The sequence below is a fragment of the Homo sapiens genome, chromosome 7 (genome assembly GCF_000001405.40).
Source record: "Homo sapiens chromosome 7, GRCh38.p14 Primary Assembly".
NCBI lineage: Eukaryota > Metazoa > Chordata > Mammalia > Primates > Hominidae > Homo > Homo sapiens.
Window position 1 is genome coordinate 156,146,884 of NC_000007.14, and position 24,075 is coordinate 156,170,958.

The following is a 24,075-nucleotide window of genomic DNA, read 5'->3' on the forward strand; positions in this document are numbered from 1 at the left end:
TCACACAAGTCACTGAAAACTATTGCAGAAGACTGAAACTGTTTAAAGCCACTTTCAATAAAAGTTCACTTAGCAAAACTTAAATATGACAGACAATTCCTCATGGCCCATTCCAAGCACATAGACGCTGTCCAGTGACAGGGGCCAGGGTATTAAGTGGGATTAAGGGTCTTAATTACACTAAAGATGTAAAAACGATTCATGGTTGGACATTAAATAGGAGGATTGGAGTGACATGGCACTCTCTCCATCCCACGGGAAGAATTCACTGGGGAGATCGAGAAACTTACTGGAATCTCTGGGCTTCTGAACTGGGGTGTCAGGTTAGTTAGTGCCATGACTCTCAAATCCTGAAGGCGCTTTTCACCAGGCACAGTGAGGCAGAGGCCACCCCAGCTTACCGCAGGAGTCACCACAGCCAAAGCCTGATTAGTGGGAATGCGATTTATCAGAAGTCCAAAGTCCAAACTACATTTTTCCCAGCTCTGAAATGACTAAGAGGCTGGTGCTACAAAATATTGTATCTAAAGAATACGATGCAGCCACTCTTTCCAGCTCAGCCTTCCCTTCTGTATGTCAGGGCACAAGTCCCTCCTGGTCTTGGGTAAGTCACAAAGCTTCTCAGAGCCTCATGTAAAATTAGCCACTCCCTAACATTTTATAAGGAGAGTTGAAATCATAGATGGTGACCCAAGGAACTTTAAGAGCCTTCATTGCAGAAATTAAGTATATGGAATTGCCATTTTTGTGGTCAAAGATGGTCAAATATGAGTGCTCCACAATGGTTCAACCTAAGGTATTTGATTTTAGTCACTAGACTCCTCTAAAAAGAAAAAAAAAGTGAGAATGCAGGTAATTTGCAAAGATTTTTACCCAAAATTGAATAAGCTCTCAGTCTCCATCAGCCCCCACTGCCATTTCCAGTTGGTCTGCGGCTTCCTGCAGAGTAGCTGCATTTATGGCCTTTCAGTTACTGAGGAAAGACCTGCCACATCAGACTTGGAAGGCCAGCCAGAGGTCACAGCCAAACACGGGGCTCCAGCCAGCCGTGTAGGTCACAGGGAGTTAGGGGTCTGCCCATGAAGCCCTCAGCTTGATGGAGCCCTGCAAATATGATACCGGAGTGTGTGGAAGGAGGTACACGTAGGAGGGGCCAAAGAAAGTCAGATTGCCGTGTGCTCATGCTTCCTGCCTTCTCCTCTATGGAGGTGGCCAAGGACACTGTGAGGGGGGCCCTGCACCTGCCATACCACCGTGGGCCTGGGCTGTGGACACTATGAGGGGGACCCTGCCCCTGCCGTATCACCATGGGCCTGGGCTGTGGACACTATGAGGGGGACCCTGCCCCTGCCGTATCACCGTGGGCCTGGGCTGTGGACACTATGAGGGGGGCCCTGCACCTGCCGTATCACCGTGGGCCTGGGCTGTGGACACTATAAGGGGGGCCCTGCACCTTCCGTATCACCTTGGGCCTGGGTCGTGGACACTGTGAGGGGTTCCCTGCATCTGCTGAGTCACCGTGGAGAACTGGAAAACCCACCTGTATTTTGGGCCACTTGTCTGCCTGCTTGCTTTGCTTGAGCTTGTATTTTAAAAGCTTTATTTCTGTAGCTGAAAACTTTCCTAGTGAAAATCCGAATCCCCAGGAAGATGACATTATAGAACTCTTAACAGTATCACACTTTTTATGGAAAGGATTTGGAAGGGATTAGAACTTAATGTTCTTGAGAGGGAAAAGGCACAGGCCTGGGATTTGCAGTGAATAAAAAGATAAGTTACCCGAATGAGTTCCCGAGAAAACTGCCCACACGTGGAGGCCTTCCTGCCGTGCTGCTGGTTTGCATTGTGCACCACGGGCTGGAGACGGCTCTTCTCTCCTGGGGTGAACACACCTGCCCTCCTCCCTCTCCAGCCAGGACCAGTGAGTGCCCTGCCTGGCTGTGTCTCCATCATAGGCAAGGTGCACCCCTCACGCAGAGTCTGTTCACCTTGGTCATTTCGTTGTGTGCCTGCTGGTCTTATTGCAGGACAGCCTTGTGTGCTGTGTGGGGTGTGTGCAAAGCTCTATGAGGTTGGCTTTGCACAGAAGTTTCACCCTCCTGGCTGCACATGTGGGGCCTCTTAGGGGCTCATGGCCTCCCTGTGCCCCCTTCACTGGGCTCCTCACGCTCGGCATCCTGAGGCAGAGCTTCCAGACCATCAGGACGGACACCAAGGGCCCTCGAGCGCGCACACACAATACCAGTTTATGGAGGTTTCAAAACCTAGGAAATGTTTCCATGCTGAGTATCTAATTCCTTCCACGAGTTCAACAGGTGAGGAACTGAAGCCTGGCCCATTGGAGGGAGTGGCAGGATGTGGACTCCAGGTCTGGTTCATCGATAGTCTCAGCTCTTCTTTTCACCGAGTGAAGCCCATTAACCAGGACCAAGGGCAGACCAACCAACACAGAGACAACAAACCATTGAAGGCACAGGAAGGATTGTTCCAGCTCCAAGGACTTCTCTCTCCAGAGCTCATCTTCCTGCTTTCACGGGCCTTCCCCACGCCTGTGTTGTTCATATCCACTGTTCTTGCCAGAACCCCGTGGTTCTGAATTCTCCTGATTCGTGCTTCCTCCAGGGCTCACCAATGGGCCAATATTTTCTCTTGAGGGCCACCTGGAGACATGCTGTGAGCATCGCAAAATCTCCTTCCCAGAGCCACGTCTCTCCCTTCTGATTTCATCTTAGATTTTTCATTGCTCCCATAATCTAGGGTTCTTGACTTTGGTTTCACAGTAACAAACACCCAGGAGGCTTTTGAAAAATGCTTAGACCTAGGACATCCCATGCCTGCAGATACTGACACATTTGATCCAGTTGAGGCCTTGGCCTCTGTGTTTTTTTTAAATTCCAGATAATTCTAACATGCATATGAGAACGAGAGACAGTTAATGTCATTGCAGGTTCTCAGTTTATTCCACTTACATCTTTAAATGACAGCTGGGTGATGTCGTCCAGAATTTATCACATCCAAATTAAAGGAAGGAAGCCTCAGGCACGGACTGCAGTAGTCCTTGCTGCCATTTACTGAGCATCTAATACACGCCACACAGCATGCTGCGTGGTTTACAGAGAATCTTATTTAAACCCTATGAAGCCCTGCAAGTTACTATTGCTTTATTCCCCCAACAGGTGAGGAAAGTGAGGCTCTCCGTGCTTAAGCGCTTCCTCTAATCACACTGCTTGTGTTTGGCAGGGCCAAGGCTCCTGCTGTTTGAATGGATCAAAAGACTGTGGTTTCCAGCATACGTCTGTGCCTCACAATCACACTGCACTTTCCGTCTGTTTAAATGAATGTGCCTTTAAGTCAGATACTCCCAGAGGCGCCTTTCAAGGGGCCCATCAGAATCCTAGGGAGGCTTTTCCAAACTGTACATGCTCAAGCTGCTCCTTGCCCCATCCTTGACGCCCCCTCCTTGACGGTGAACCCCCTTCCAAATTACTGTCATGGCTGCGGGGGCGAGAGGAGGTGTTGTTCGATGGGGCCAGCATTTCGGATTTGCAGGATGAAAAGGTTCTGGAGACCCATTACACAGCAATGTGAATATGCTTCACGCGACTGAACTGTACTTTATTTATTTATTTATTATTTTTTTTAGACCGAGTCTCGCTCTGTCACCCAGGCTGGAATGCAGTGGCGTGATCTCAGCTCACTGCAACCTCTGCCTCCTGGGTTCAAGCGATTCTCCTGCCTCAGCCTCCATGAGTAGCTGGGACTACAGGCGCCCGCCACCACACCTGGCTAATTTTTATATTTTTAGTAGAGACAGGGTTTCCTCATGTTGGCCAAGCTGGTCTTGAATTCCTAACCTCAGGTGATCCACCTGCCTCGGCCTCCCAAAGGACTGGAATTATAGGTGTGAGCCACCACTCCCATCCTCGAAATGTACATTTAAAAATGGTTATGATGGTAAAATTTATATGTGTTTTTTACCCCAGTAAAGAAAAACAAACAACAACAACAAAAACCAATCTTTAAAAAATTGCTTATATGAGCCACTACATCTTTTGGGGATGTGTCTTAGCATCAGAAGTATTAGGTCAGATGAAAGGTTGAACATAGGGTCCCTAAAAACTCTGCATGAGAAATTGGATATAATTGACCTTTCTGTCTGGAATAAATAAATTCTCAATGCACCTGCAGGAGATCATATTTTGTTATTAGGATAAAGTTAACAAAAAACTTCAGTGTTTACTGTCCCTGCCCGACGCTCATGGAAATCTTGGGAAAGTGGAAGAGCTACCCCCAAATCACCTGTCACTCTCTGCCTCCTCCTCCTGCTTGGAGTGCTCGCCATGGTGACTTAATGACTTAGCTGCAGGTGACTGACGTGCTCTACCCCCTGCCGTGTTTCCTGTATGTGCACCGCCTCCTCCTTCAAGATTTTAAGTTGTCCGAAAGAAAATGCTTCTCAGTGATCTCTGTTCTGCATTGCACATGTCCCTGGTACACACCCATGGGGTGATGGACGTAGGGACTGATATGACACTGCATTTGACCTGGATTTTGGATGGGACAGCAGAGGACTCAGACTTCTAAATCCTAAACCATTCTAGCTCTTCTTTCTCTTTCTCTCTCTCCCTTTCTCTCTGGCTCTATAAAGCAGTGGTTGTTGGCTGATTCATGGACACATTTCAGCTTGTAAAACTTAGAGTGCTTGTTCATTTTTCTCAAAAGGAGATGTTCTGTCACATCCTCCATTGTTATAAATCATGAGAAGAGCACTCGTCTTCACTGAAGAGAAGGAGAGAAGGCGAAATGGTCCAATTCTTACTGATGCTTTATTAGAAAGCCATGGTCTTCCTGACTCACGTAGTAGCCTCTAGCTGGAGAGACCAGTCTGGGCAGTATTTATTTCATTGTGAGGCAAATTAATTTTGTTATAGATTAAAGGAATTTTTGTCATTTTTAATGTCTTACTACTAGTACTTTATAAAAAGTATTTGTGATGATGTGGACATGCGTTTTACAACAAGAACAGCTTCAGTGGTATTTAATGGATAACTTATTACCAAGAAAAAATTCTTCGGGCCTGCCTTACCTTGTAATTCGTGGCATTATCTTTGAGTGTTTTTGCTGCATAGAAGGAGGCGTGAGAAGTAGTGGGGAAGACAATGATAATCATACATACTTTGCCTGTTGATCCAGAATCCCTAAGAGCCACTATGAGAAGAAGGGAGTTGTCACTTGTCCACGAGGGAGAAACAGAACCTGGCTTTCAGAAGTGTTTCTAAAGCATGACTCCAGGGAAAACAAATTGATAGTGACTTCCACAAAGTCTTAGAAAACTCATTTCTGCCCTTTGGATACAATGCAGTAAGTTCAGGTCAGCTCAGATCTGCAATAAGAAATGTTATTACCACATTGATAAGATGCCTCAAATTTCAGAAATAAAAATGACAATAAAAATTCACATCCATTGACCTAAATTGAAAAATGATCATCAGCTCTTTCCAGTTTCTGATGGACTTGCTCCAGGGAATCAAGGCTGAGTACAGGAAGCTGTCTCTGTGGTCCTCCACAGACCTCCGGAGTGTTTCCACGTCTTCCCTGCTTAGGAGCTTCGACTCTAAGTCAACAAGTTGAGAGGCCAATGCCCATAAAAATCAGGACTCACATATTTCAGTAAATCCGGTAGGTTTTTCTGCTCACATATTTCAGTAAATCCGGTAGGTTTTCCTGCTCACATATTTCAGTAAATCCGGGAGGTTTTCCAGCCAGGCTTTCTAACAGGAAGAAACACAGATCTTCTGAAAGCACTTTCTCCTTCCATCCTCCCATAAATGTGATTCTGAAACCCCTTCCACTCAGGGTTGCCAGGTAGAGAGAGCCAAGTTAAATTTGAATTTTAGATCAACAATGAATTTTTTTTTAGTCTAAGTATCTCCCATGCAATATTTGGGACATACTTATACTTAAAAGTATTTGTTGTTGATCTGAATTTCAAATCTAACTGGGTGTTCTTTATTTTTATTGGCAAGATCTGGCAACTCTGTCAGAGCAGACTTCAATCAATTCTTGGGACTAGCTAACTCCATCCAAACCTGGTGGCCATTAGATAGCAACTAATATGTTTTAGCTGTGTTCCCACCCAAATCTCATCTTGAATTCCCACGTGTTGTGGGAGGGACCCGGTGGGAGGTAATTGAATCATGGGGGCAGGTCTTTCCTGTGCTGTTCTCTTGATAGTGAATAAGTCCCATGAGATGTGATGGTTTTATAAAGAAGAGTTCCCCTGCACAAGCTCTCTCTCTTTGCCTGCTGCCATCCATATAAGATGTGGCTTGCTCCTCCTTGCCTTCCACCATGATTGTGAGGCCTCCCCAGCCACATAGAACTGTAAGTTCAATTAAACCTCTTTCTTTTGTCAATTGCCCCATCTCGGGTATGTCTTTATCAGCAGCATGAAAACAGGCTCATACAGCAACTGAACCATGCCGCTCTGCCCTGGGAGCCATGAACGGCATGACATAGAAACAAGGCTCCACTCTCCACTCTCTTTCTGGAACTTGAAAGAGCACATTCATTTTCCACTCACTGAAAGCTAGGAGTTTTGCACTTTGCCTTCATTTCTTTCAGCTAATTCTTATTCTAATTCTAAGAAGTTGATATTTTATTCCCATTTAGGACTAACAGGGAATAGGTGGAAGGACCAACCTCTGAACCTGTCTGTCGGCTTCCCACTCTTCCCTTCCGCTTCTCCCTCCAGAGAAGCCTGCCATAAAACTGGGGAGAAGACACATGGATAAACCAAGAGCAATGGAGAGATGCAATGTGAGTGAGTGCTGGCTTCAGGGCAGCCAGGCCTGTAGGAGGGACCAGGTTCATTCCCGGGCTGCCCATATGCCAGGAGGCTGCATGCCCCTGGCACCTTCTCGTCCCATCCCCAGGGCCCAGCTGTGAGCACCACACAAATGGCAGAACCCCCCGTCCCCCCCGCAGCAGTCTAGAAAAACATCAGAGTAGGCTAACAGAATACAACTTTGGGTAAAACAAGACAGCAAAAGATAGGATCCGATGACCTCAACGGGAGAGACCCTAGGGAGTCAGCTGAGAAACAGTGACCCCAGTTGTGCAGGAATTTCTAGAATTTTGTTCCTGAACGGCTGGACCCCATACATCCCCATGCACCACACCAGGGTGTTGTCTGTGGGTGCCAGGTTCCGAGGGGACATCACAGGTGTGGACACAATGCGGGTGTAGACATAGAACAAGTGGGGACGTCACAGGTGTGGACGTGGTGCGGGTGTAGACGTAGAACAAGTGGGGACGTCACAGGTGTGGACGTGGTGCGGGTGTAGACGTAGAACAAGTGGGGACGTCACAGGTGTGGACGTGGTGCGGGTGTAGACGTAGAACAAGTGGGGACGTCACAGGTGTGGACGTGGTGCGGGTGTAGACGTAGAACAAGTGGGGACGTCACAGGTGTGGACGTGGTGCGGGTGTAGACGTAGAACAAGTGGGGACGTCACAGGTGTGGACGTGGTGCGGGTGTAGACGTAGAACAAGTGGGGACGTCACAGGTGTGGACGTGGTGCGGGTGTAGACGTAGAACAAGTGGGGACGTCACAGGTGTGGACGTGGTGCGGGTGTAGACGTAGAACAAGTGGGGACGTCACAGGTGTGGACGTGGTGCGGGTGTAGACGTAGAACAAGTGGGGACGTCACAGGTGTGGACGTGGTGCGGGTGTAGACGTAGAACAAGTGGGGACGTCACAGGTGTGGACGTGGTGCGGGTGTAGACGTAGAACAAGTGGGGACGTCACAGGTGTGGACGTGGTGCGGGTGTAGACGTAGAACAAGTGGGGACGTCACAGGTGTGGACGTGGTGCGGGTGTAGACGTAGAACAAGTGGGGACGTCACAGGTGTGGACGTGGTGCGGGTGTAGACGTAGAACAAGTGGGGACGTCACAGGTGTGGACGTGGTGCGGGTGTAGACGTAGAACAAGTGGGGACGTCACAGGTGTGGACGTGGTGCGGGTGTAGACGTAGAACAAGTGGGGACGTCACAGGTGTGGACGTGGTGCGGGTGTAGACGTAGAACAAGTGGGGACGTCACAGGTGTGGACGTGGTGCGGGTGTAGACGTAGAACAAGTGGGGACGTCACAGGTGTGGACGTGGTGCGGGTGTAGACGTAGAACAAGTGGGGACGTCACAGGTGTGGACACAATGCGGGTGTAGACGTAGAACAAGTGGGGACGTCACAGGTGTGGACGTGGTGCGGGTGTAGACGTAGAACAAGTGGGGACGTCACAGGTGTGGACACAATGCGGGTGTAGACGTAGAACAAGTGGGGACGTCACAGGTGTGGACGTGGTGCGGGTGTAGACGTAGAACAAGTGGGGACGTCACAGGTGTGGACGTGGTGCGGGTGTAGACGTAGAACAAGTGGGGACGTCACAGGTGTGGACGTGGTGCGGGTGTAGACGTAGAACAAGTGGGGACGTCACAGGTGTGGACGTGGTGCGGGTGTAGACGTAGAACAAGTGGGGACGTCACAGGTGTGGACGTGGTGCGGGTGTAGACGTAGAACAAGTGGGGACGTCACAGGTGTGGACGTGGTGCGGGTGTAGACGTAGAACAAGTGGGGACGTCACAGGTGTGGACGTGGTGCGGGTGTAGACGTAGAACAAGTGGGGACGTCACAGGTGTGGACGTGGTGCGGGTGTAGACGTAGAACAAGTGGGGACGTCACAGGTGTGGACGTGGTGCGGGTGTAGACGTAGAAAAAAAAAAAAAAAAAAAAAAAAAAAAAAAAAAAAAAAAAGTGGTGCGGGTGTAGACATAGAACAAGTGGGGACGTCACAGGTGTGGACGTGGTGCGGGTGTAGACGTAGAACAAGTGGGGACGTCACAGGTGTGGACGTGGTGCGGGTGTAGACGTAGAACAAGTGGGGACGTCACAGGTGTGGACGTGGTGCGGGTGTAGACGTAGAACAAGTGGGGACGTCACAGGTGTGGACACAATGCGGGTGTAGACATAGAACAAGTGGGGACGTCACAGGTGTGGACGTGGTGCGGGTGTAGACGTAGAACAAGTGGGGATGTCACAGGTGTGGACACGGTGCAGGTGTAGGCGTAGGACAAGTGAGAACCTCACAGGTGTGGGTATAGACATAGTCCAGGTGTGGACACAGTGCAGATGTAGACATGGCGCAGGTGTAGACCCAGTACAGGTGTCAACACAATGCAAGTATAGACCGTACAGGGTGGCCACAGTGTGGTGTGAATGCAGTGCATTCTGGACACAGGGCAGGTGTAGACACAGTGTAGGTTTTGGCACCATGCAGGTTGAACATAGTACAGGTGTGGACACGGTCAGGTGCAGACACAATGCATGTGTGTAGTTGCAGGGCTGGATTACGTGGGACTGACCTGGGCGTGTTCCCAGGCCCCTGGCTGTGATATGTGTGTGCTGTGGAGACAGAGAGAGGTTGTTTCCACACTCCTTCCTTCTATGTCTCCATGGCCTTCACCTTCCAGGGGCAGCCATGCCGAAGCTGGTTAAATGGAGGTGTGGGGACGAGAAACATCTGAGTCTGCTGTTGCCTGTGGCCTGAGAATGGCTGAGAGATGAACAATGGTCCTGAGATCTGAGCTGGGCCGTGAGGAGGAGGGTGAATTGCTTGGATTAGGATGCAGATGAGTGCCGGGCAGAGAGCCAGACAGGAGCTAGACACAGAGAGGCCCGTAGATTGCCATTTGTGGATGTCTCTGATTGATTAAACAGAGGGGAAATCAACTGATTTCTTGAGAGCAGAAACTATAATGGATGCTTTAATTTGGGCTCACTGCAAAGCAATTTGCTCCCAAGCTCCAGGCTGGTTGTGGCCACCCTGGGGTGCACGGCTCGCCTCTGTCTCCTCTCTCCTCCCAGGTGGGCTCCTGGCTGGGGATCCAATGCTCTCTCGCTGCCCCCCACTGCCCAGCTCTGCTGCCAACTCACTCCTTCTTCCCAGGCCCCCTCCACCTGGAGTTGTCCTGATTCCACTCCCCTCCCCCGCCTATGCCTCAGGGATCTTGCCTCTGCCAGGGCTGGGCTGACGAATTCATTTGGTCACTTACTGGCAGATCACGGCCTAATGAGCTCCCCCTTCCGGCCCCACGGGATATTTTCATTTCCTCGGAGGATTTGCAGGGCCTTAGCCCAGAGGCTAAGGCATAACGTGGCCTGCAACCCACCTCCCACTCCAGAGATGAGCCCCTGGCCACATCTCGGTGCCACTGGTTCACTGGCCCATAGTGATACAGAGGTGGGCGCTAGGGAGGAGTGGGGACAATGCCAAGAGGAGCAGGGGAGTGCGTGTTCCCTTAGATAGGTGAGCAATGATTACGTGGCAATGAATGACCACCCTGGCACCTCCAGCCGCCCGGCGAGCACTGCTGGCATCCCGTGTGGGACCTGGATGCTACCAGCACGCAGAAGGGGAAAGCCAGGCAGGTGCGGCTGGGGCAGGAGAAGAGCACAGAAAGGAAGATGTTACCTGAGGAACCGGGCTCTGCTGCAAGCCGGGCAGGAGTGTGAGCAAAGACGGAAGGGGAGAGCGGGATGGAGGGAGACCACCGGGCACAGTCAAAGGCATCGCTGTGCAAGGAGGCAGCCTCTGGAGAGCCGGATGCCACAGGGTGTCCTGGGGGAGGTCTGGAGGCTGTGGTGGGGCCCTTGGGAAGAGCACCTGTGTACTCAGGTGAGCAAATGCCCGTGGGGACGGCTTGTGGGGCAACCTCCAAGTACAGCTACCCCTTCCTCTGTCTCAGGAGGAGACGGTGAGCAGCAAGTTCTCAGCTGGTTGACTTCCAGGACTCACTGTTCTCTGCATCACCTGAGAAATTCCTGAGCAAGCTGGCGACCCAGGGCTCTGGCATTTGGAATGAGGGACTGGTGGAGGCCAGGGCAGCAGAGTTTACTGAGATGACAGGCAAATGGCTTGTGCAAGGGTGGAGGTGCCGAGGGGGGGAGGTGAAGGTGGCCTGCCTCTTTGGAAGTGTATTATGGTTGGAGGGGCTCATTGTGTGTGACAGGAGATGGGAGATCTCGCAAAATGGCAGAAGAGCCTCATGAGGCACTCAACTCCTGCCCCACCCGGCAGAGACGAGGGAGCTGGGCTCTAGGTCAGGTCACCAAGCATGGGTTCTTGGGCAAAACCACTTTGTTTCTATCTGTCTGCAGTACCTGAGGACAAGATTAGAGGCAGAAACAGCGTGATCCAAGAGCATGTTCTCTTGAGGCATTTCCCGCTTCAGGAACCCTGAGTTATCCACGACAAGGGAAGATGGGATTTTCTATAGAAGAAAAATACATTTTTTTTTTTTGCAAAATCCACAGCAATAGTAGGTGTCACACGTGTCTACATATCTCTGCATTATTCTGGTGGCCACAGTGCTGACTGGGTGCAGCCACTGCTTCCCTCTCTAGATGTGCGTCTCCAACAAGAACACAATGCCACCTGGAGATGCCTGGCCTCGCAGGCAGAGTCCCCAGTGGGTATCCCTGATGACACAGGGGGACCCCTCCAGGGCCAGCCCATGTTGTCGTTGCTGGTCCATGGAGGTCTCTATATTCATGTCTGTGTTTCTGAGATTGTCAGGAGACAGGAGAGTGTGGGCAGAAATGCCAGGAGTGAGAGCCTAGTCCCGACCCAGACGCAGCCTCCATCCTGGCCTGCAGCCTTCTGTCTTCTCGCCTCGGGCCCCAGACAGTAGGAATTCGTTTGCACCTTTGTTTATCTGTTCACCTATTCTTTCAAACACACAATGTGTTCAGCGTTTCCTATGTGCAATGCCATCATTAATCATTAGATCATTAATTGTTTCTGCCCTGGGGAGGCTTTAATGGACTATACGTTGGGGTATTGGAGCCCTGGACTGGCAAGGACAGTGGCCTTGACGTGTTGGGGGGAATGTTCCTCACGATCATTTCTGTGTGTTAGTGTAGGGGGAGCAAATGTCAGGATGGGGCATAAAATACCTGTGTCATTGTCTAAGGCTGAGTGTCAGGTGAGGCGGAGCCAGGCCTCGGCCCGGCCTCCCTAGATCCCCTCATCTTTCCAGGCCCCCAGCGTGCAGGAGCACCCCTCTCCAAGCTGACTGTGTCCAGTTGCTTTTCCAATCACCGAGTCGGCTTCTATTTGATCACCAGATAAGAATGGGATTAGTACGATTTGGGCTGTTTGAATGATTTTGAACAACCCCAAACAACAACAACCCTGCATGTGGCTTTGAAATAAGCCTTGAATATCATCAGGTGACTGCTGATTACCTGTAGCAACCGCTTATTAACATTGGAAAAGCAAGCCCTCTAGATGCTATCAGCGAGCCTACCGAGGGGATCAGCTGGCTGCCTCACCCTGCCCTTGGCTGGGGTGCTCAGGAGAGATGGCGGGCCCCTGGGAGGACGGAACTCAGGCGCTGCCTGGTTCCGACAGGCAGGTTCTCCAGGAGGCTACAGCTCTTCTTCCCAGGTGTGTGGGCCAAGCGGCCACTCCTGCAGCATGGGGATGGATCATTTGGTTAGACTCTCTGGGGAAGCGGAGCAGGCTGCCTGTGCATGTGCACACGTATGCGAGCATGTGTCTCCCCGAGAACACCAGGCCCACCAGCTATGGCTTCTCCCTCCTTCCACCTTTCTTTGTGACCTTGGGCACTCTTTGATGGCAGATAATTTCCTCTTCCAGTGCGGAATGCCCTGATGTTAAACTATTAGCTAATATCCTGGGCACCCATTCACACATCTGCTGGGCTGAGTTGCGTGGGGAGGCTCAGAGCTGAGGATGTGGGAAGCACCTGAAGCAAGAGCAGACAGGCTGGGGGGACAATGAGGCCCATGGGCCGAGGGGGCATGCCAACACCTGTATGGACATACAGCCCTGGGTGACCCCAGACCATGCATTTCTGTGTTTTCTAAGTGAAAAAAAAAAAAAAAAAAGCCCAACTCACTCTGCAGAAAATTCGCTCTTCTCATAAGGGGCCTTCACCTCTAGGACTTAGCCACACGGTCCCTGAGGGAGACACACTGTGTGATTTGAATAGCATGGAAGGGCTGTAGAGACCCAAAGCCCACCCTGGTCCTGGCCTCGGCTCCCAGACACTCCACAAACATCTCCCAAGCCTGTTGGCCTCACTGAACGTGGGCCCAAACCAGTCATAAGAACACAGCAGGACCCGTGCTTGTCTGGAGGGCTGGGCAGGCAGGGCAGAGGTTTGACGGTGGGCGCCCAAGACGATGTGCCTGGCGATATTTCTCACGTAGCTCCTTCCACATCTCCCTGCCGTGGGGCTCCTTCTTTCCCTGGACTTCTAAGCACTTCAGGCCTTCCCTGGCCACCTTTAGGAAGGATGCAGAAAGTACTACTGAAGTCAACTAAATATCACTTCCATAAATGACGGGGCACAGGTTTCCTGAGGATCCACTTTCCACACTGTGCTTATCCTGTTTCCCGGTTCTCTGCTCCTTTCCAAATTTTGGAGTGACAGCAGCTTGTGAAAAAAACAAGACGGCCGGGATCACCCGTGTAATCCCAGCACTTTGGGAGGCCGAGGTGGGTGGATCACCTGAAGTCAGGAGTTTGAGACCAGCCTGGCCAACATGGCGAAACCCTGTCTCTATTAAAAATACAAAAAATTAGCCGGGCATGGTGGCACATGCCTGTACTACCAGCTACTCGGGAGGCTGAAGCCGGAGAATCACTTGACCTGGGAGGCGGAGCACTGCACTGCACTCCAGCCTGGGCGACAGAGCGAGACTCCATCTCAGAAAGAAGGAAGGAAGGAAGGAAGGAAGGGAGGGAGGGAGGAAGGGAAAAGAAAAGAAAAGAAAAAAGAAGGAAGGAAGGAAGGAAGGAAACAAAACAGTTACAGAACAAGACTTTTCAGAATTTAATTGCCAGGCTGTACGTAGGACTACACGAAGAGCCTCCCTCCTCTTCTGACCCTGGATGTCTCTTAACCATAAAGCAACCTGGGTTTCCCTTTCTCTCTCCTTGTTGCCTTGAGCGACTCCCACCCCTTCACCCACCAGCTGTAATGCGACACCCTCCTCTCCGGCCTTCTTCTAATGCCACGCCCTCCCCGCCCGCCTTCCTCTAATGCCTCGCCCTCCTCGCCAGGCTTCCTCTAATGCCACACCCTCCTCGCCAGCCTTCTTCCCGGCTGCCTCTCCTCCCGCCAGGAATTCTTCAGTGCTTCTGACCCTCACGTGGACCATTTCAACACCTCCCTCCTCGGCACAACAGATTATTTTTAGAAGTAACCACAGATAATCAGCAATAATCTTTACTCCCTTGATTTGTTCTTTAGAGTCAAAGCAAGTAACAATTTTAAAAGAAGAACACATTTTCAAAATGTGGCACATATACACCATGGAATACTATGCAGCCATAAAAAATGATGAGTTCATGTCCTTTGCAGGGACACAGATGAAGCTGGAAACCATCATTCTCAGCAAACTATCGCAAGGACAAAAAAACCAAACACCGCATGTTCTCACTCATAGGTGGGAATTGAACAATGAGAACACATGGACACAGGAAGGGGAACATCACACACCAGGGCCTGTTGTGGGGTGGGGGGAGGGGGGAGGGATAGCATTAGGAGATATTCCTAATGTTAAATGACGAGTTAATGGGTGCAGCACACCAACATGGCACATTTATACATATGTAACTAACCTGCGTGTTGTGCACATGTACCATAAAACTTAAAGTATAATAAAAAAAAATCTATCTTGAAAAAAAAGAACACATTTTCATTTTAAATATATGATTCAAGTTCAGGGAAATATCTCATGTCTGAATAACAATTTGTAATTACCAAACAAAAATATTCTACCTCCACAGGTTTGCCATTTCACTGTTTTAAATTTTAAATGAAATTGAAAACTACAAATGTTTGAAACTCAAGTTTCGTATCTTCGTCTTTCTGATGGGTATGTCATGATTGTTTATTCTGAATTGACTATTTAAATGCAGAAGTTGGAGATGTGACTTCACCCAAAGCCAACTCAAAGGTTCTGAACGATTAAAAACCTGCCCATTGGGTCAGGAGCCCACCTTGTGAAAGGCAATTCTCCAAATTAACTTCCATGTAAATAAAATGATTAATTAAGAATAAGTGATAGCTGGGCACAGTGGCTCACACCTGTAATCCCAGCACTTTGGGAGGCCAAGGCAGGTAGATCACCTGAGGTCGAGAGTTCGAGACCAGCCTGGCCGAGATGGCAAAACCCTGTCTCTACTAAAAATACAAAACAATTAGCTGGGCGTGGTGGTGCGTGCCTATAATCCCAGCTACTTGGGAGGCTGAGGCAAGAAAATCCCTTGAACCCAGGAGGTGGAGGTTACAGTGAGTTGAGATTGCACCACTGCACTCCAGCCTGGGTGACAGAGTGAGACTCCGTCTCAAAAGACAAACAAAAAACAAGAATAAATGACAAAAATGCACTCCTTTGAATCTTACATATATATCACTAAAAGTCAGCAATAACCACAGTAATCGTTTCAAACAAAGGTTCTTTTGTTAGTGGAGGTCTTTAAGTCATTGCCAGTGTTCAGAATTGCAGGCGCACAGTACTAAGGACGGCAGGCTCACTCCCCCTTGGCATTACAGTGATTGTAAATTCTCCACAAACAAGGCACCTATGCCATGCACTGGAGGGGAGGGGAGCACTCCCACCGCCGGCCCATGGCCACTCACCTGGCTGCCACGCTCATCTTCCTGATGCTCGTCTCTGAGCCTTCAAGAAACCACTTTTACCCATCACATCAAATCCAGATTTTACAGCTCCAAGTCAAGAGTTTCCAGCCAGACATCATCCCTCCAAGCACATCTGCTGCTCTCCGCCCTTTGCCCGTGTCCCCCGGGGCAGCCTGTCTCCTTGGCATCCCTCCACCAGCCTTATTCTCTTATTTACCTGAGAAGTCCTCTCATCTCTGCACCTCCCCGACCCTAACTCTGCCTTGTCTTAAGAGACCGTCTCTGTGTCCTTCCTCTGCTCTCTTGTTTCTTTGGACAATCGCTTTGGTAAGTGATTGCATATCTTACATACTATCTGTGTTACAGGTGTATATAAATATTTCCCCTCCATAAAAGGATAGGCACCATCAATATTTATTTTAGATGGTGCACATAACCTAATACACATCTAGATACAAAATAGGTACTTAGGGAACTTAATCCTAATATGTTGAGCCAAAGACATTTGAAGAAAATATGAGCATTTGGGAAAAACATCACCCCTTCACTGGATTTCTGCCACTAGGTGGTCCATCACAAAGCACTTAAACCTCATAGTACCTCAGTTTCCCCCTTCAGAAAACTGAAATGATAATATTTACCTCCCAGGGCTTAATTAATATTTGCAAGTTACTTTGAAATCCTGAGATGAAAGGAGATACACCAGGCAAAACCTCATCCACATTTTTGAATCTATCATTATAGTTATGGCTGTTGTTCATAAAGATTATTATTATCACCAATCATCATCATCATCATCGGAGGGGTGTTGTGGGATCTTTTCATTGGATCCCTGGTACCTCTGGACGCAGGGCTAGGGGGTTAGAGAGAATGCAAATCCCGGATCTGCCCAGACAGTGTCGGAGGGAAGTGTGCATCTCCCCAGCACACAGATAAGGACATCCAAAATGTTACCTCGGCCATTGTATTCTCCAGCTAGAAATCTTCAGTGGTTCCCTTGGGATGCCTATAGGAAGCCCACAGAGAAGGAGGACCCTGCACTTTGGATCAGCCTGGATCCAAATCCCTAGGTCCTGACTCTCACTACTGAGCTGTCTTGCAAGCAGCACATCTCTCTGGGACTCAGCCTGCTCATCTGTAAAATTGGGATGATTATGTCTACCTTGTGAGGCAATGTGAGAACCAGCAGTAATGTGTGCAAATCATACATTAAATTTTAAAACAATAGAAAAGGCACAATGTGCAAACCCTGTAACTGACTGAGAGAGGGCACAGCCTCTGCATTTGGATGACCTGAGTCTGAATCATGCCCAGCCGCTGTAACTGACTGAGAGAGGGCACAGGCTCTGCATTTGGACGACCTGAGTCTAATCCTGCCCAGCCGCTGTAACTGACTGAGAGAGGGCACAGGCTCTGCATTTGGATGACCTGAGTCTGAATTCTGCCCAGCCACTGTTGGATGTGTGGCTGTGGGGAAGCCCTGAAACAGTCTGGGTCCCACCTGTAGATAGAAATGAGAGTAATACCTGTCTCATAAAGGAAGTTAATGCAAATGGTGAAAATGTTGCTGTTGTTAACTATCATTATCATTATCTTCATCACTTAGGGCTCAGTGCAGGATGCAACTCATACTCAAGGGTACGCAAATAGCAATTATTGATAAAAGTTAAACATCTCAATTTTAGGCCAGTACCATGCTATTTTAATTACTACAGCTTTAGAGTTTGAACTCAGGTAATGTGATGCCTCCAGCTGTTTGTTTGTTTGTTTGTTTTGCACAAGATTGCCTTGGCTATTCAGGATTTCAGGGGAGTTGTTCCTATGAATTTTAGGATTGAATTTTTCTGTTTCTGTGAAAAATGACATTGGAATTTTGATAGGGATTGCACTGAATCTGTAAATCGCTTTGGGTAGTATGGATGTTTTAACAACATTATTAACTCTTCCGATCCATGAACATGTATCTTTCCATATGTTCACATCTTCTTTAATCTCTTTCTCCAAAGCTTTATAATTTTTAGTGCATGGATCTTTCACCTCCTTTGTTAAATTTATTTCTAAACATTTTAATTTTTGGAGCTGTTGTAAATGTGATTTGTTTTCCTGATTTCTTTCTTGGATAGTTTGTTGTTACTATATGGAAATGGTACTAAATTCTGCATGTAGATTTTGTATCCTGCAACTTTCCTGTACTTATTAGTTCTAACAGGTTTTTTTTGTGTGTGGAATCTTTAGGGTTTTCAGCATATAAAATCATGTTGCCTGCAAACAAGCATAATTTGGCTTTTTCCTTTGCAATTTAGATGCCCTTTATTTCTTTCTCTTGCCTAATTGCTCTGGCTAGGGCTTCTAGTGCTTATTGGAAAGCAGCGGTGAGAGTGGACATCCTTGTCTTGTTCCCGATCTTAGAGGAAAAGCTTTTAAGTTTTCACCATTCAATGCAAATGTTAGCTGTTGGCTTGTTATATCCTTTATTGCACTGAGGTACATTCCTTCCACATAAAAACAGACATGTCAACCAATGGAAGAGAATAGAGGCCCAATATGAACCCATGGATTTATTGTCAATTGATTTTCAACAAAGGTACTCAGAATACACAATGGAAAAAGCACAGTCTCTTCAACAGAGCATGTTGGGGAAACAACACCCACATGCAGAAGAATGAAATTGGACCCTTATTGCTCACCATATATCTCTCACACTTTATCCACAACACAATCTCAACAAAAACCAACTCAAAATGGATTACACACTTAAATGTAAGGCCTGAAACTACAACTACTATAAGAAAACATAGGGGAAAACCTATATCACATTAGTCTGGACAATGATTTTTGAATTTGACCCCAAAAGCTCAGACAATAAAACCAAAATAGACAAATGGGATTACATTGAACTAAAAAGCTTCTACGCAGTAAAGGAAATAATTAACTGAGTGAAGAGCTAACCCACAGAATGGGAGAAAATACTTGTAAGCCATACACCTGATAAGGGATAAATATCTAAAATATATAAGGAACCCAAAGTACTCAACACCAAGGTAACAACCCACTAAAAATGGGCAAAGGACCTAAGTGTACATTTCTCAAAAGAAGATATACAGGTGGTCAACTGATACATAAAACATTCTCAACATCATTAATCATTAGAAAAATGCAAATTAAAACCAGAAGATACCACTTCACCATGAATGATTGTTATCAAAAAGATGAAAGACAGGTGTTGACGAGGATGTGGAGAAAAGAGGATTCTTGTACATCGTTGGTCGAAGTGTGAATTAGTACAGCTGTTATGGAAAACAGTATGGAGCTTCCTCAAAAAAACTAAAAAGGGAGCCACCGTACCATCCATCAATTCCACTTCTGGGTATACACCCAAAGGATTTGAAATCAGGATGTTTAAGAGCTATCTACACTTCCATGTTCATTGAGTGCTATTTACAATAGCCAAGTTATCATATCAGTCCAAGTGTCTGGCAATGAATGAATGGATAAAGAAAATGTGGTATATACGCGATTTGGCCTTTTAAAAAAAGAGGAAGATTATGTCATTTGTGACATCATGGACCTGGAGGACATTATGGTAAGTGAAATAAGCATAAAGACAAATGCCACTTGTTCTCACTCCTATGCAGAGGATAAAAAGGCCAAACTTGTAGAAGAAGAGTAGAAGTGTGTTTACCAGAGTCTGGGGACTGGGGTCAATGGGTAAGTGTTGATCAAAGGGTGTGAAGTTTCAGTTAGACAAGGAATAAGTGATGAGTATTTGAGGTGAAGGACATATTAATTGTCTTGATTCAATCTTTCTGCAAGGTACACATATATTATAGCATCACATTGTACCCCCATAATCTATAATCTGGCCCCAAAGAGCAGTGGCTTGGGGGTAAAGACCCTGGGTTCCAGCTTGCTTCTAACCCCATCAACCTTTGAACAAATGACCTGGCTGTGCTTCAGTCCATAAAACTTCAGGGCTATGTTACCCTTAAGCTGGGAAGGCCATTGCTTCTAGGACTTGTCCTCTATCGCTTCCTTACACAAACACTTCAGCCAGAACACAATCCCAACACTGCCCCAATAAATTGCACACTCCATTGTCCTAGACATTTGCTGATGATCTGATGCCTCCTCCCTGTCCTGAGGGGTCTTGCCACATCCTTTCCAGGTATACAGGACTCCTCCTTCAGGTCCAGCTTTTCCCGCCTTCCCTGGTTTTCCTTGAGGACCCCACCTCCAATGTTTGCCTCATTCACAGGCTCTCAGGGGTCCCTGCCACCTCCTTCCCTGGCTCTCATACCTGACCCACAGTGGGTCCTGATTCGTGATCACCCTAACCTGAGCAAAGAAACTGCCTGTGTCCAATGGTACTGAACACACAGCTGGGATTAACATGCCCGTGCTTCTGCCTGGAATGGAGTTCATTCCTTTTGTTCACATGGAGAACACCAGTGTTTTCTTCAAGACCCTCTTCAAACCGTGTTTCTTTCCAAAACCTTCTCTTATCCCAGCAGCAAGGATCAACTTATCCATGTGCCTAAATCTTTCCCTCCAATGCTGGACACGCCCGCTCTGCAGTGCGGATCCTGAGACACGTGAGGAAATGGTGCCTGACTCAGGAAGCCGCACTCCGTGCGCAAGGTGCTGGCTGCAGCCAGTTCTTAGCAACTCTGCGGCCACTAGTGGAACTGGAGAGTGGGGGAGTGAGTGAAATTTTTTCCTACTAAGTTCTTTTAATTAAAAGGATAGTTTGATCAGTTTATAAGTCTTTGCTTATGGGCCAAGAACAGGCAAACATTGCAACCTCTGATAACAGATGCCACTTCAGAATCCCAGATCCCAGGCTTGAGGCTGGAGAGGCCTCAGATGGGTCCCCAGCTGCCATCCTCGTTTCTCAGGTGAGGAGAGTAGGGACCAAAGGCACCAAATGAGCTGTTCTAGGTCACGCTGGACTCTGAGTTCTAGCTCATGTCTAAACTCTGGGCATCAAGCTTTCGAAGGTGGCTTCTGCGAGTGCACATGTAACAGGCCCACTAGACCCGGGAAGTGTCGCATACACAAGGTGAGGCGTTTTGGCCACATGCCGCAGGATGTGAGCTACTATCCCGCAGCCCTTACAGAGCTTGCATTTGCTGCTGGCACGAAGGCCAAATTCCAGTCTCTTGTGATGCAGAAAGCACACATCTGAGAAGAAATAGACATTTCAGAGAGAAAGCTAATTCAGGGCTGCTAAAAGGTGTTTTGCTTCACAGTAATTACATAGCTCTGGAGCCTTTGAACTTCTGCAGGGTCTTTCATCAGTTTATGTGCAGTAAGAGTGAACGGCTGCATATCCTCTGGGGTAGATATTATCACCGCTCCCGCAGCTGGGCAACTGGAGACAGAGAGGAAGCGGCTTGGCAGCTGGGATGGAGGTGAGTGAGCCGATACCTGGATCTCAGTTATTCTGCCAAGAGCTCCTTCTGGACAAAATTGTCCTCAGGGTTCCATCCACCTCCTCCACAAGCCCAGCTCCCAGCTTCCTCCATCTGGGTCCAGAGCCTCAGTGGGGCCGCAGTGTGCTTTGGAGTGGTGGAGGCTTTGGAGTGGTCCAGACCTAGGTTCAGGCCAATCCTGCCTGTTTCCCAGCTAAGGGATCTGACGCATTTCCGCCCTGCACTAAGCCTTACCTGCTGCACTTGTGAAATGGAGCTAATAGTAAGTGTCTCAAATGAATGTTGCAAGGGTTATGCCAGGTAACTGAGCTAGGATAGTATCCTCACCTGGTAAGAACTCAGCCATGAACGCAGTAACTGCTGTTTAGTAATGACAACAACAAAAACACCACCGGCAATGCATAGCCTTCCTCCAGCCCGGGGAGCCCGCGGCCCCTTCCCATCTCACCGTCCACTCCACTCCAATACTTTTCTGGAAGAGTCTTACGCTAGTGACACACCCGGCTACCTCCCTGGGGTGCTGCCGGGTGAACAGTTTACTCCATTACTTCATCTAAGACGAGGGACTGATGGGTAATCAGGCTGCAATGCGGCCCCAAAGCCCAGGAGCTCTGCCATCCACGAGGCCTTCCTACAGCAGCTGGAGGAGTGGACGAGGCCAAATCCGGGGTGCCCTGGTGGGCAGAGAACACGTTTTCCTGCTTGTCTGCAGAGGGCAGCGGGTGGGACACTCCCAGCGGGGGGCAGTGGGTGCGGTGAAACATCCTGGGGGGGGGCGGGGGGAATGGGGGACAGTGTGTGGGGTGGAACGTTCCCAGTAGTGGGGGCAGAGCAGTGGGTGGTGTGGGACGCTCCCAGCGTGGGTAGGGGGGCAGTGGGTGGGGTGGGACGTTCCCAGCTGTGGGGGTGGTTGGGGGCAGTGGGGCAGTGGGTGAAGCAGGACGCTCCCAGCAGGGGGCAGTGTGTGGGGTGGGATGCTGGGGGGGGTGGGCAGTGGGCGGGGTGGGATGTTTCTAGAGGGGGGCAGTGGGTGGGGCGGGACATTCCTGGGGGGACAGTGGGTGGGGTGGGAGGCTCCTGGGGGGATAGTGGGTGGGGTGGGAGGCTCCTGGGGGTGGGTAGTAGGCAGGGCGGGACATTCCTGGGGGGACAGTGGGCGGGGTGGGAGGCTCAGGTGGGGGAGGCAGTGGGTGGGGTGGGAGGCTCCTGGCGGGGTTAGTGGGCAGGGTGGGAGGCTCCTGGGGGGGGTAGTGGGCGGGGCAGGATATTCCCAGTGGTGGGCGGTGGGTGGGGTGGGACATTTCCAGCGGGAGGCAGTGTGTGGGGTGGGATGTTCCCGGCGGGAGGTCACTGGTCTGGGTGGGATGCTCCCAGCGGTCTTGCCAGGGACTCCATCCATGTTTCTTGATAGAAAGAAAAGAAAAGGAACTGAGATGGTCTAAGTGACTTTGCACTTTCACCTCTTTCTATTTCACGGGGTCACAGGTCAGGCGTCCGCAGCTTGTCCCGGGGGTAGGTGGAGGGCTCAACCTGTCCCTGCTCCTGGGGAGGGAACCCTTGTTGGGAACGTGGGGCCCCAGCTCCCCTCCTGCAGCCCATTGTGCCTCTCAGGCTTCCGGCAACCTGGTCCTCCTTGGTCCCCAGGGGGCTGACCTTGCCACTGAGTGGGGAAGCAGCTTCCGTCCCTCTTCAGCCCCTTCTCATCGACCCCTGGGGTCGATGCCGGAGAATCTACACCACGCAGGTGGCCCAGGACCCCTCTGCTGCCACCGGCTGACACCCTTAGAGTGTCGCAAACACCCTCCTCTGAAGTGGGGGCTCCCTGCTGCGCTGCAGGAAGAGGCTCCCCTCAGGGGTTCCTGCTCCTGGTGGCCTGGGACAGCTGTGCCTGAGCCAGAGCGGATGTCGGTGGGGAGTGGGCCCTGAGCCGTCCTGGGACCCGCCAGGACTGGAAGGGCAGTGGGGAGCACAGAGCAGACGCCTGCCCCACCCCTCCCCACATGGTCACTTTCTCTGGAAGCCCAGCCGGTCTCTGCAGGGAGCCCCGGCTCGGCAGTTCCAGCCTGGCTGGGAAAGCACAGTGTTGGGCCCGACTGCGTGTGGACACACCCTAAAAAAGGACACATTCCCACCCCCAGAGCCACTCACAGGGACAGGCCCTCCAGCTCTGCGGCGCTGCCTGTCCTTAGCGAGGCCTGGCCCCTTCCAGGCAAGGCAGGAGTGCTCTCCTCTCCATCGGTCGCCAGCCACTGCTCCAGGACTTTGCGGCTGGCTCTGTGTCCTCACCCTGCGTGAGGACAGCCGGCAGAGACAGAAATGATGCTTGGACGCTATGGTGGCCAAAGCCCAGCGCGGCAGGTCCTTCTGAGATGTCTGCCTGCCGGGGCCTGCACGGCCACACAGATCAAACAACGTCCCTCCTTGAGGGGCTTAGAGGAGAGGTAGGGAGGTGGCCCCCAGCTTGCCCTCATGTAACCGTCAGCAATATCCATTTCAAGGCTTAATTGCTGAGAGCCTAAGCCCTGGAATCAGACAGCCGGAGGTGAACCCCGCCTTCCTCTCAGAGGGCGTCCTCAATTGGGTCCGTCCACCTTGCTGAGCACCAGCTTCCTGATCTGTGATATGGGAGATGGCTGGTGCGCAACTCACTGCTCACTGTGAGGACTCAGCCTAGAAGCAGATGTGCGGAGTGCCCAGGGTGTAGCAAGGCCTCTGCTAAGTCCCTGCGTTTCACGCTCAGCCGTGCACACGTTCATCACTGTGCTCATGGCTCACCTGCAAGGGCCCTTCTTGCCTACTCCACCACTTCCAGGCCATTTTCTTAGATCATCATCATTCTTAAAGCTGAAAAAGAGGCCAGGTGCAGTGGCTCACGCCTGTAATCCCAGCACTTTGGGAGGCCAAGG

At 49.9% G+C, this 24,075-nt stretch overlaps 1 long non-coding RNA gene across 1 annotated transcript, besides 2 other annotated features; it reads left to right on the forward strand.

The window, feature by feature from the left end:
• Positions 1–485: 485 nt before the first annotated feature.
• On the forward strand, positions 486–11,284 carry LOC105375602 (uncharacterized). Its single transcript, XR_928249.4, has 3 exons — positions 486–604; positions 6,673–6,819; positions 11,218–11,284. It is a non-coding gene; the product is annotated as an uncharacterized LOC105375602 (long non-coding RNA).
• Positions 21,205–21,418: a silencer, noted in NCBI's record as "fragment chr7:155960782-155960995 (GRCh37/hg19 assembly coordinates)". NCBI's record gives its function as "represses an EF-1alpha promoter that drives an FKBP-Casp9 reporter gene in an ReSE screen in K562 erythroleukemia cells {active_cell/tissue: K562}" and the evidence as "EXISTENCE:reporter gene assay evidence [ECO:0000049][PMID:32094911]".
• Positions 21,739–21,893: a silencer, noted in NCBI's record as "fragment chr7:155961316-155961470 (GRCh37/hg19 assembly coordinates)". NCBI's record gives its function as "represses an EF-1alpha promoter that drives an FKBP-Casp9 reporter gene in an ReSE screen in phorbol 12-myristate 13-acetate-treated (for megakaryocytic differentiation) K562 erythroleukemia cells {active_cell/tissue: K562(+PMA)}" and the evidence as "EXISTENCE:reporter gene assay evidence [ECO:0000049][PMID:32094911]".